The sequence below is a fragment of the Homo sapiens genome, chromosome 15 (genome assembly GCF_000001405.40).
Source record: "Homo sapiens chromosome 15, GRCh38.p14 Primary Assembly".
NCBI lineage: Eukaryota > Metazoa > Chordata > Mammalia > Primates > Hominidae > Homo > Homo sapiens.
Window position 1 is genome coordinate 101,334,224 of NC_000015.10, and position 13,708 is coordinate 101,347,931.

Genomic DNA, 13,708 nt, shown 5'->3' on the forward strand with positions numbered 1-13,708 from the left:
CGCTGCAGCAGTGACACAGGAAGTTGTTCTCACCGCTGCAGCAGTGACACAGGAAGTTGTTCTCACCGCTGCAGCAGTGACACAGGAAGTTGTTCTCACCGCTGCAGCAGTGACACAGGAAGTTGTTCTCACCGCTGCAGCAGTGACACAGGAAGTTGTTCTCACCGCTGCAGCAGTGACACAGGAAGTTGTTCTCACCGCTGCAGCAGTGACACAGGAAGTTGTTCTCACCGCTGCAGCAGTGACACAGGAAGTTGTTCTCACCACTGCAGGTGCAGAAAACAAGCCTGGTGAGGAACCTCTGACTCTCCTCAGCTCCTTAGGGTCCAGTTACAGCCACATTCCGACCACAAAGGAATCCGAGCACTTTAACCACCAAGTGGTGCACTGAGATTGGCTGGGGTTGTGATGATGGTAGGACAGGGACCAAGGGCTCTAGAGGCTATCATTTGAGTTGAAGTTTATTTCAATTATAGAGGATGTCTCCAAAAACACCCACAAAAGGCCTGGTCACCAAAACTGGATTTTTATTTTCAGATATAGTTTTGGTGGGACAAACAAGAGGGGCTGCTCCACACTCAGGGTCAGTGGTGTGCACTGTGTGGAAAAAGAGAGCAGGAAGAATTCCCAGGGACCCAGCAGACAGGCAGCCTCATGGGAGGAGGCTGGACTGGAATGGAAGAGAGACTTCATTATTATTACACTCTCTGTTTGACTTTATGTGTGTGTGTGTGTATGTGTGTATGTGTGTATTTAGACAGGGTCTCACTCTGTTGCCTAGGCTGGAGTACAGTGGTACGATCATGGCTCACTGCAGCCCCAACTTCCCAGGCTCAAGCCATCCTCCCACCTCAGCATCCCAAGTGGCTAGGACTACAGGTGTGCACCACCACGCCCGGCTACTTTTTGTATTTTTGGTAGAGATAGAGTTTCACTATGTTTCTCAGGCTGGTCTCAAACTCCTGAGCTCAAGCGATCCTCCCACGTTGGCCTCCCAAAGTGTAGGATTTACTGGTGTGAGCCACGCGCCCAGCCTGTTTGACTTTTTGTTAAAACCACAACATATGTTACCTGTTCATATATAAACATTAAAACTTTTTAAAAGTTTAATGTTTAAAATCTATGAATAAAGTGGTTGTATGGTCAAAAAACCCCATTAAAAAGCAGTAGTACTCGGGGTTTTGATTTTTGTCTCTGAATAAGTAATATACAAGGATGGCTCAGAAATGCAAAAGTATAAAAGTGCATATGACGAAGTCTCCCTCCCCATGGGCAATGTTGGTTCCCCGTTTCTTGTGTATCATTTCTGAAGCATTTTATTCTTATTCAAGCAAATATGAACATATGTTTCCCCATCCTTTTTGGTAACACACCTGCTAGCACTTTCTGCACCTTGAGTTTTCCATTAACAGTGTATCCTTATGATCCTTCCATGGCTGCACAGGAGAGATGTAGTGTTGTTTACTTAAACAATCCCCTACTCATGGACGTTTAGGTTGTTTATAAACTTTGGCAATTATAGTCATGTGTAGCTTAACTATGGGGATACCTCCTGAGAAATGCAGGTGATTTTGTTGTTTTGTGAATACCATAGAGTGTGCTTACACAAACCTAGATGGTACCCCTACTCCACACCTAGGCTATAGGGTACAGCCTGCGGCTCCCAGGCCACAAACCTGTGCAGGATGGTGCTGTATGGAATACTGTAGGCAACTGTAACACAATGATAAGTGTTTGTGTACCTAAACACACCTAAACATAAAAAGGGTACAGTCAAAATACGACATTAGAATCTTATGCAATGACTATTGAATATGGGGTCTGCTACTGATGGAAATGTCATTTTGCAGCACACGACTACACAAATAGTGCTCTATCCTTGGTCACATAGGGAGCAACTACTTGAGGTGAGCAGAGCAAGGGCCCTGGAACAACAGGGTCTGGAACCTGGCTTTGCCCCTGCTAGCAAATTACTTCATCTCTGTTCCTTAGTTTCCTCATTTGTAACGTGGGGATAATAATAACGTCTCCGAATGTCTACCTCACAGGGTTGCTTTGGAGATTAAATGACTTCATGATGGTAAAGCACTTAGAATAGAGACTGGCACGCAGGAGCTGTCCATTAAGGGAAACCTACTGCACACGTCATTTCAGCTGTGTGCATGTGTACCTGTAGGCTACATTACTAGACGTAAAACTCGTCACACGTCACATGTCACACGTCAAAAGGAACGGGCTCCCTTGCAGCCTGCAGCTATGGCTTACATTGCCAATCCGATAACTCAGAAAGGTTAACGTCGCATTTCTCTCATTATATGAGAAACGGAGCATCCTTTTCATATAATTAAGAGCAAGACAAATTTCTGATTTGATAAAATTAAAAGCAATTTATAAACTTGTAAATTTACCAAAGATATTTGCTAGGAACAAGGGATGAGACGTCTAAGATGCATAGAAGCAGATCTTAGCTGCATTTGTAACAAGGGCCAGTGGAATGAAATGGTGTTTTGCTCACACATGGTTTGTATTTTTGTTCTTTCTCTCGATCTGCAAGATACTCATGACAGCCTATGAGGGGCCAGGCACTGACTGAGCTAACAACCTGCGGAGCTGAGAGCTGGGAGCTCCAAAAACGCCAGCAGGGAAGAAGCAGTGGGACCAAAGCAACCCCTTCCTGCATGTGCCTCCAAAAGAGACCTTTCCTTTTCTAATAGGTGCGATTTGTGACACTTGACCTAAGGTTAGGTTTAGACAATGGTAATCTGGGAGACATTTATCTCTCTCTCTCTTTTTTTTTTTTTAGATGGTGTCTCGCTCTGTTGCCCGGCTGGAGTGCAGTGGCACCATCTCAGCTCACTGCAAGCTCCGCCTCCTGGGTTCACGCCATTCTCCTGCCTCAGCCTCCTGAGTAGCTGGGACTACAGGCGCCCGCCACCATGCCCGGCTAATTTTTGTATTTTTAGTAGAGATGGGGTTTCAGAATGTTTGCCAGGATGGTCTTGGTCTCTTGACCTTGTGATCCGCGTGCCTCCCAAAGTGCTGGGATTACAGGCATGAGCCACTGCACCTGGCCTATCTCCCCTTTCTAGTACTTAAATGCTTTTTTCACTTTCTCAACCAAGGGAGTCACTTTGGTTTTCCTGCCTTTGGAAGACGTAAAAATGAGAATTCCATACCTATGGCATAAAGTGTATGGCATAAATTTGAAGAGTGATTCTTTTTTAAAATTACTTTTTCCCTAGTTAGAATAAAAATTATTAAATGTTGAGATATTTAAAGAAAAATAAAAATAAATCACCTATAACTCTTTTGGCATATTTCCTCCTGGGCTCTTTCCTATGCATGTGTATTTCTTGCATAGTTGAAAACACACAGCACCCTGTTTTCTCTTTCTTTTTCCACTTAGCATTATATCATGTTAATCGCATTCGACGTTATTTATTTTCTTGTTCACTGTTTTCTCTTCCTTCAGCCTAGAGGCATCACGGGGGCAGGGAACATGTCTCTCTTGTTTGGTGCATTAGCTTCAGTGTGTAGCAACTTTTGGGCACACAGTAGGTACTCAATAAATGTTTGCTGAATGAATGAATCTGTTAAAACATTTTTTTTTACAGCAAAATACTTCACCCTGTGAACGTGACCATTTGTTTAACAACCTCTTATGATAGGTTATGACAGAACGTTTAGTCCAGTTCCCTTTTTTGAAATACATAAATCTGACAGAAATATTACTTGATGCAGTCTGGATTACTTTTTCCCAATAGAGTCCCGAAAGTGGAACCACTGGGTCAGGTGATACAACACGTTAATGTCTTATCTTGAACTGTAAACTTATGTCTATCATGAACGGCAATGCCACATGATCCCGCCACAGTGTTTGGTGTCCCATGAGGCTTGACTGCAAAATACCCAGGCGAGGGACCACAGGCCACCTGGGCAAATCAGTTACTTGATAAGAATCACCCCCTCTACACAGTCCCTTCTCCAAACCACAGCCCAAGCTTAACTGAGGCAGGAGAGTCAGATGCTTATGGGTGACTTAGGATAACAGACTAAGGCAGAGACACACAGGAATGAGCTTCTTGGAGGCTTTAGTTTTCAGGAGGCATCCACCTCCTCTCATTGCGTCCACAGTGTCGGCCCCCCACAGCAGCAGCACTTGTGCCAGGACAGGCTCCCCAGGCCGGCCCCTCCACACTCAGTCACCCCCAAGAGGCCACATTCTCTTTGGGAAGGTAAGCCACATGGGTGCAGGAGAAGCAAGGAGGAAGAACAGGCAGATGTGTCCAGGGACAACCCAGGCCAGACCAGGGTCTACACTCAACAGAACTGCCACCCAGAGGCAGTCAGATTTTAGAATGTTGACCCTGCTTTCGGCAAACCACTTAGCAAGAATGTGTTATTTACTATTCAAGATACTCTACAAGCCTGTTCAAGTTTACTGTTGTACATACCCAACTAGCACCATGAGTTCCTTAGTTTCTAAAAGGAGGGGGTCTTAAAAGATGCCCAATCAAATTTTTTGCCATCAGATTCCTGAGCCTGTAGAAGAATCACAAATCCACCTGTTTAAACACTTGGGCCAGCACTGCCAGCAGGCTGCCTCCAGATGTCAACAATGAAGGCCAGGGAATGTCATTGTGAGAGGCAGAGGATAATCCACAGCTAGTGCCAACTGAGGCTGCCAGTAAATGGATTTATCATCATTCACTATCTTCAATGCAGTATTTCCCCTCAATGAATTAAATTCATAATGAACAAACAGGATTATTCCCATTATGCAAAGAAAGAACCAGAATTAAGGGGAGACTATGGTTGAATTTGCCAACAGGAAAGTACCAGCAATAATGAAGCTTTCCTATGCCTGGCATTTTGAGTTAAGCATTAAAATCCTTGTGAAGGAAATTTACAATTGGAGACAAAGCAAGTAGGGGTGGGGGAAAGTTCTATTAGATTAAGGACTCTGAGCTAATACTTTTGGATTCCTGGGTTTTCCTGGCTATAGGAGAAGTTATTAACAATATAGAGTTTAATTAATTCTCCCCCTATGTCCCCATACTTAAAATATGCAGGAAGAAATTCCTTAATTGAAACACAGTGAAGTAAGAGAGCCCTAGAAAAATCACGTAAATATGTTTCAGTTTAAAACACCAGTGGAAGTTTCTTCCTTCTGAGATTTGGTGAACCAGCCACCCATGGCTATGTTCAAGTTACAAAGGTTAATGCAGAGGTTTGGGCGGAAGGAATAAAAAAGCTTACTTCCATCCATTTATAAAAATATACAAAAACACCCCTATAATTCACATACTGAATACTCCTATAATTTACTCCTTAAAAGGGGTGAATTTCACAGTATGTGAATTATATCTCAATAAAGCTATTATTAAAAATACCGTGTAGGGGCCAGGCACAGTAGCTCACGCTTGTGATCGCAGAGCTTTGGGAGGCTGATGTGGGAGGATCTCTTGAGGCCAGGAGTTCGAGACCAGCCTGGCAACATAGTGAGACTCCGTTTCTACAAAAAATAAAATAGAAAAATTAGCCAGGCGTGGTGGTGTGTCCTTGTAGTCCTATCCATTCAGGAGGCTGAGTTGGGAGGATTGCTAGAGCCCAAGAGTTGGAGGCTGCAGTGAGCCGTGATTGCACACTACATTCCAGCCTGGGTGACAGAGCAAGACCCTTTCTCAATATATATATATATATATATATAAAATTACACATACACACAGTAATTTTTTGTGTATATTGTATGTATATGTATACACACACAAACAGAAATATCAACCTTTACTCAATAAACACATTATTAAAATACACTTTAAGTTCACATTATGGCAAGTAAGAGAAAGGTAAAAAGGAATTTAGGAATGGCTTGGAAAGGAGGATAAGAAAAAGAGTACATATATGTGTGCTCCCCATGTACACACACGTCCATGGATGCACATGGACATGTGTGCACAAGGCACCCATAACATGCACACCCACACTCACGTACTTACCTGAGCACACACACATACACACATGAACTCTCAGACCCAGGCTAAGAAAGGGGAGATACAAGGCTTCCCTGTGCTCCTATAGCCACAAAAACCCTGAAAGATGGTATTTTAAATGCCAGGAAAAGGATCGAAGAATCCTAAACAAATATCCTTTCGGGAAAGAATGATCACCTGTGTGTACAATGGACAACACAGCACTTTTCTTAATGGCATCTATAAGGTCATTCTATCTTTTAAGATGCTCCAGCTTTTCCAAAGTAATAAATTAAATGTCTGGAAAGTCAAAAACTCTTACAAGGTTTATAACAAAGAAAGCAGTCCTCCTTCACTCCATTCTACCTCTTGGAGTCCCCCTGACTCCCCACCTCTTTTTAACACTTTGAGTTATTTTTCTGGCATTTGCCCTTACATTGCTAGACAAAAATACTCATATGCTATGTCCTGGTTTCTTGATGTTAGACATTGTCCAGTGATGTCTCACCTAGGAAGCTGAGAATTCAGTTCTCTTACACTATCTTCCACATACTCACATGATCCCTCTCCCGCCCCCACCTCCCAATGTTCTAACAAAATTTCTTACTGGGTCCAATATTTATTGTCTTTCCCCCACCACCCTTTCATTTTCTGGGAGATTTCCTCAAGTTTATCTTCTAACATATCTATTGAATTTTGAATTTTTGACTTATATTTTTAATTTTAAGGCATTTATGTGCTTCTCCCAAATTTTTTTTTTTTTTTTTTGAGACAGAGTCACCCAGGCTGGAGTGTAGTGGTGCAATCTCAGCTCACTGCAACCTCCGCCTCCCAGGATCAAGCGATTCTCCTGCCTCAGCCTCCCGAGTAGCTGGGATTACAGATGCCACCACCACACCCAGCTAAATTTTGTATTTTTAGTAGAGACAGGGTTTCACCATGTTGGCCAGGCTGGTCTTGAACTCCGAACCTCAGGTGATCCACCTGTCTCAGCCTCCCAAAGTGCTAGGATTACAGGTGTGAGCCGCACCGCGCCTGGCCAAAAGTGTGGGGTTTTTTTTTTTTTTTTTCTTGACAAAGTCTTGCTCTGTTATCCAGGCTGGAGTGCAGTGGTGCAATCTCGGCTCACTGCAACCTCTGCCTCCTGGATTCAAGTGATCCTCCTGCCTCAGCCTCCCAAGTAGTTAGGATTAGTAGTTGGGATTACAGGCGCCTGCCACCACGCCTGGCTAATTTTTGTATTTTTAGTAGAGATGAGGTTTTACCATGTTGGCCACACTGGTCTTGAACTCCTCACCTCAGGTGATCTGGCCACCTTGGCCTCCCAAAGTGCTGGGATTACAGGCATGAGTCCCCATGCCCGGCCTAAAAATTTGGTATTTTTAAAGTGCTGGAATAAATACTCCCAACCCAGAATTCTATATCCAGTGAAAATACCATTCAAAAATGGGTTGAAGTAAAGACATTTTCAAAGAAAACAAAGCTGAGCAAAGTCCTTGCCAGAAGCCCAGTTTGATAAGAAATGGTAAAGGATGTGTTTCAGGCTAAGGGAAATGATAGCAGATGAAAATTCAGATCTACAGGAAAGAATAAAGAGCACTAGAAATGGTAAGCATGTCAGTAAACACACTGAAGAGTAGCTGTTTCCCTTAATTTATTTAAAAGACAACACCCTTATAATCCCAGCATTTTGGGAGGCCAAGGTGTATGGGTCACTTGAGGTCAGGAGTTCAAGACCAGTCCGGCCAACATGGCGAAAACCTGTCTCTACTGAAAATACAAAAATTAGCCGGGCGCGGTGGTGCATGCCTGTAATCCCAGCTACTTGGGAGGCTGAAGCAGGAGAATTGCTTGAACCTGGGAGGTGGAGGTTGCAGTGAGCTGACATTGTGCCACTGTACTCCAGCCTGGGAAACAGAGTAAGACCCTGTCTCAAAAAAAAAAAAAAAAAAAAAAAAGAAGATTGCTTAAAGCAAAAAGTAATATCACTGTTTTAAGAAGGAGTTTGTAACAAATACAGAAGTAAAATATACAACACCATTACAGCACAAATGAGGAAGTGGAGGGGGATGGAATTACACTGTTATTAGATCCTTTTATCTGAGAAGTGTAAAGCTGTTCAATATTAATTCTAAGTAAAGTGTAATAAATTAAGGATGCATATTGTAATCCCTAGAGCACCACTCAAAGTACAGCTAAAAAGCCAATAGAGGAGATAAAGTGGAATGCTGACAAATATTTGATTAATCTAAAACAAGGCAGGAAAAGAGGAACAGAGTATTTCATCTTTTTAATACTGTTGGATTTAGTTTTCTTGATATTGGGCTTAGAATTTTTGTATTTATGTTCTTGAGTGAGATTGGCTGAAAATTCTCCATTCTCATATGTGCTCTTGGGATTTGGTATCAAGAATACACTGGCTTCAGCTGGGCACGGTGGCTCACGCCTGTAATCCCAGCACTTTGGGAGGCTGAGGCGGGTGGATCATCTGAGGTTGGGAGTTGGAGACCAGCCTGGCCAACATGGCAAAACCCTGTCTCTGCTAAAAGTACACAAATTAGCTGGGTGTGGTGGCGCATGCCTGTAATCCCAGCTACTTGGGAGACTAAGGCAGGAGAATCGTTTGAATCTGGGAGGCAGAAGTTACAGTGGGCTGAGATTGCACCACTGCACTCCAGCCTGGGCAACAGAGTGAGACTCCGTCTCAAAAAAAAAAAAAACCAAACTCTGGCTTCATTCAACAAAGTGGGGACTGTTTCCCTATTTTTCTACTATCTAGAAGAATTTACAGAACACTGACATTATTTCTTCCATTTAAATGTTTGGCAGAATTTGCTGGTAAATTGCTCTGGCCTTGAGTTTTCTTTTAAATTATAGAATCAATTTCTTTAATAGGACAATTTTAATTTTATGTAAACGTGTCAATTTTGTTAAGTTGTATTTTTTCTTGGAATTTGTTCATTTCACTTAGAATTCCTTTGTCACATAATTTTAATGTATATAGGATCTATAATCATGCGTTTTTCTTTCCTGAAATCATATAGTTTCAGCTTTTTCCTTGGTCTACTTACAAGTTTATCAATTTTATTAGTTTCTTTCAAGAACCAGCTTATGGCATTTTAATTTTCTCTACATATGTTTGTTTTCTATTTTGTTAATTTCTGCTATTTTAAAAATTCCTTCTTTCTTCATTCTTTATGTTGTTGGTTTTTTTCTATCATCTTAAGTTGGATGCTTAGCACATTAATTTTCAGGATTTTCTCTTTTCTGATATATGCAATTACAGCCATAAAGTTGTCTAACTACAGCTTTAGCTGTATCTTCCTTATTTGAATATGTAGTATTTTTATTATCATCCAGTTTTAAGTATTTTCTAATATAAATTATGTTTTTTTCTTTTAACACATAAATTATTTAGAAGTATTTTTCAATTTTCAAATGTATGGAAACTTTCTAATTATCTTTTTGATTTTGATTTCTAACTTAAGTGTAATGTCAGAGAATAGGGTTTATATGCTACCAATCCTTGGAAATCCATCGAAGCTTGCCAAATGGCTCGACATGTGGCCAATTTTCATAAATCTTCCATTCGTGTTTGAAAAGTGGGTGTATTGGCCGGGCGCGGTGGCTCATGCCTGTAATCCCAGCACTTTGGGAGGCCAAGGCGGGCAGATCACGGATCAGGAGTTCGAGACCAGCCTGGCCAACACGGTGAAACCCTGTCTCTACTAAAAATACAAAATATAGGCACACACCTGTAGTCCCAGCTACTCAGGAGGCTGAGGCAGGAGAATCACTTGTATGTGGGAGGCGGAGGTTGCAGTGAGCCGAGATTGCGTCACTGCACTCCAGCCTGTGCGACAGAACAAGATTCTGTCTCAAAAAAAAAAATAAATAAATAAAAAATTTGGTGTATTATTCTGTTGTTTGGCACAGTGTTCCAATATGTCCATTTGACCTAAATTGTCAATTGAGATATTTGCATCTTCTATTATTATGAATTTTTGCTGTTTTATCTATCAAATATATCCGAGGTATGCTAAATCTCTCCCTCCTGTGTGAGTTTGTCATTTTCTCTTTGTAGTTTTAACAAGTTTTTGCTCTATATGTATTTTAAGGCTGTGTTATAAATTGCATAAAAGATTAGAGGTGGAACTTTTAGAACTGAACTAAACCTTTTACCAATATGTATAGACCCTCTACATATTGATACATACACAGAGCTACATATGAAGCTCCAATAACGCTTTTTGCCATAACATTTCTGTTTGGCTGATGAAGGACTGGAGAATCACTAACTCATAAATAAATATCTCCTCCCTCCCTCCTCTCCTGCTGGAGTTTCCCCTTGGCTGAACTCAACTATAAGCCACAGGCAAGGGAGTCTGTGGGGTGGAGGAGTGGAGAATGGATCTGGTGGGTAAATGAAATATACCTGGCACTACAGAAAATACTTTTTTTTAATTTGTATTTTTTGAGATGGAGTCTCACTGTCGCCCAGGCTGGAGGGCACTGGCATGAACTTGGCTCATTCCAACCTCTGCCTTCTAGGTTCCAGTGATCCTCCTGCCTCAGCCTCTTGAGTAGCTGGGACTACTATTAGGCACACACCACCACATGCGGCTAATTTTTGTATTTTTAGTAGAGACGAGGTTTCACCATGTAGGCCAGGCTGCTCTTGAATGCCTGACTTCAAGTGATCCGCCCACCTCAGCCTCCCAAATACATTTTTAAATACATTTTTTAAAAAAATCCAATATGACAATTTTTGTCTCTCAAGGGGAGCAACGAGTCTGTATGCCTTTAGTGAAACTACTGAAGTTATTGGACTTGTTTGTAAGCACTTGTTTTGTGGGTTCTAGTTACACAGCTTTGTCTGTGTCTCCTTTCCTTGGGTGCCCCTGAGGTCCCAGTGTTATGTGGTCTGCTAGGTGGGCTCCACAGATGAAGCAGATGCCTTCAAGCAAAAGCCGGACCATGATTCTGTTCACCTCTTTGGCTGTGAACATTTCAACCAACATTTAAAATTCTTTTCTGTGGGAGGGAGATTTCAAGACACTTGTCTTCTCTGTTGTTGGAAATAAAAGTCCACGACATCTTTTAACATTTTGATCTTGACTTTGTTTTGGAGTAATTTGTTAGCAACTTAGAAAAAGTTTTATATATCTTTTATTTATTTTTTAGAGACACTAATATTTAGACTGAAAAAAAGGCAAACAGATTATGAAGAAAATAAAATCAAACAAATTGGGACTTTTTTAAAAAAGGAAATAATTATCAAAACTCTGGAGGGGAAATTTAAAATTATTTTTAAAAAGTCAAAAGTGAAACAGCAGGCCAGAAAAAAAATTTATATGAATTACGACACACACAGGGTTATTACACCAATATTTTACCAATATTTTACACAGACTACATACTTATCAGCTTGATAGCAACACTGAGCGCTCTCGCGAAAGACAAAAGGGAATTTTCTTTTTTCTTTTTTTTGAGACGGAGTCTCGTTCTGTCATCCAGGCTGGAGTGAGGTGGCAAAATCTCGGCTCACTGCAACCTCCGCCTCCCGGGTTCAAGTGATTCTCCTGCCTCAGCCTCCTGAGTAGCTGGGATTATAGGCACCCACCACCATGACCGGCTAATTTTTGTATTTTTGGTAGAGGCGGGGTTTCACCCTGTTGGCCAGGCTGGTCTCAAACTCCTGACCTCAGGTGATCCGCCTGCCTCGGCCTCCCAAAGTGCTGGGATTACAAGCGTGAGCCACCACGCCAGAAAGGGCAATTTTCAAAAGAAAAAACACAGTGCACAAACATTTGAAAAAAGGTTCACCTTTGTTAGTAATGATCACAATGTAAGTTAAGGAAGGGTATCATCTACCTCCTCCAGAACTGCCCACTCCTGGTAAGACTACAAATCAGTTCAACTATTTCGAAAAGCAAATTGGCAATATGTATCAAAGGCAGGCATATTTGTGGTTTCCACCTCTTATTTATCCCAGTAATTTTACTTCTGGTGAATAATCCCAAAGAAATAATTTTAAATTCAGGAGAAGGCTTTTTGTACTAAGCTGTCCGCTCATAATAGGAAAAAATGGAAAGCAATCTACATGTCCAACAATAGAGAGATGCTTAAATAAATTATGGTGCTTCTGTTGGTGAAGTATTATAAAAATCTATAAAATGCTGCTTACAAAGGATATTTAATGACATAGAAACATGCTTGCTATGCAAGTAACAAAAAGAAAGAACAAGTTATACATGCAGCACAGTTAGGACTCTGTGAAATGTCAGGGGAGAAAAAGACCAAGTAGAAATGCCTGTAGAGACGTAGTTTGAACACGAAGTGTTTCTGGAAATAGGTAATAAAGTCAAATGTTCGAAAATCAAACACACTTATCTATTCTGGGGCGAACCTGGCTGCCAGAATGCCGAACCATGCAGGCAACAGGAATGCCCAAGCGTACCTCATTCCTAAAACTGAGGGCAAATCTGGGAAAGGGGTTTCAAGAGAGCTCTCCCTCTTCCTCAGATCTGTCATTTTCATTTTCATCAATGTTTAGTATTTTATTTGCAAAAATTAGCTATGAGGTGAGACAAAGGTCATCTTTTTGTTATGCTTTCTACTGGAGATACAGAACCGACTAAACAATACTGTGATTCATAAATGTGCACAGCAGCAGTTGGTTGCATTTCTCCCCGAGATAAGTGGGGATACATACTTCTTTTTTTCTCAAACGAGGAGAGTTTTGGGGAAAGGCGTCACTGTCACGGCCCCGTGAAAGAGAAAAGGAGGTAAAGAGATTGACTGCAATATTAATGCAAATGGGGTTAAAAATGGAACTTTTTGACAACAGTGTGTATGGTGACTGTTTGGAGAGTGTGCCAAGTTCTTCAGCTCTGTTTCCAAGGAAGTGGGAGTGATACTCTATAATTGCACTTTCCAGAAATGAGAGTTTAGTGACAAACTTGAAAGCCGGCACAGAAGGCATGTGCTTTAAATCTGTCTTCCTTTCTAGCATCAAGCACAGGATAGATTGAGCCATCGAACACAGATTGCAAAATCTCAACTCTTATCTTAGAAATGAAGATTAGCTCAAAAGAGATGTCAATAAAACACAGATCAAGATGGCTAGCAATAAAATGAGAACAGTTATGCTCTTGGGAAAAAAGACATTGTTGAAAGGGCCACTGAAAGGAAATCAAGAATTCATGGAACTTTTTAGGATGAATAAAGGGAAAACATGGTCACACAGAAGAGACTAATCTCTTCCCCTTCATTAAACATTTTACTGAGTATGTACAGCTGAAGACAGAACTGGTTAAAATTATGTAAGCTCTTGATTTAAACAAGGTTCATGCTTGCACGCACACGCATTCATGCAGTCAATCAACAACTGTTTGTGAGCCATGTCCAAAGTGCTGAGCCTCTGGGGGCGGGAGCTGAGAGATCCAGCTCTGGACTTCCAAAGGCAGCCAAAGTTCTAAATGTGGTGGCTTTGGTCATCTGTCCCTCTGCAGTATTTCACAGAGATTACCAAAGCTCTTGTTCAATCTGCCACCGGAACACGTGTTTTAGTCCAGGTTCCCTGGAAAACAAGGGACTGAAGTGAAGCCCATGGGCTGAAGCTTTATTGGGAGGTGCAATCCCAGGGCAACAGGAGTGGAGGGCAGCAGGAGGAAGCGCCCGGGGTTGACAAATGGAAGGAGCTGTGTTTCAAGCTGGCTGCAGCTCCACAAAGA

At 41.6% G+C, this 13,708-nt stretch overlaps 1 protein-coding gene and 1 long non-coding RNA gene across 6 annotated transcripts in view; one reads left to right on the forward strand and one right to left on the reverse strand.

Annotated features, from left to right (window-relative positions):
* The window catches only part of PCSK6 (proprotein convertase subtilisin/kexin type 6), a 185,775-nt gene that overhangs the window by 30,291 nt on the left and 141,776 nt on the right, over positions 1–13,708 (reverse strand). For 2 of the 5 annotated variants that reach the window (NM_138323.3, NM_138324.3), the window contains one exon: positions 12,519–13,554. The exons of the other annotated variants lie outside the window; for them this stretch is intronic. In NM_138323.3, coding sequence (NP_612196.1) covers positions 13,541–13,554 — 14 coding nt within the window. In that variant the 3' untranslated portion in view covers positions 12,519–13,540. Of the gene's footprint in view, positions 1–12,518; positions 13,555–13,708 lie in introns of those variants that run through there. 5 annotated transcript variants of the gene reach the window in all.
* On the forward strand, positions 214–3,208 carry PCSK6-AS1 (PCSK6 antisense RNA 1). The gene is made up of 3 exons (NR_132373.1): positions 214–290; positions 2,555–2,714; positions 2,804–3,208. It is a non-coding gene; the product is annotated as a PCSK6 antisense RNA 1 (long non-coding RNA).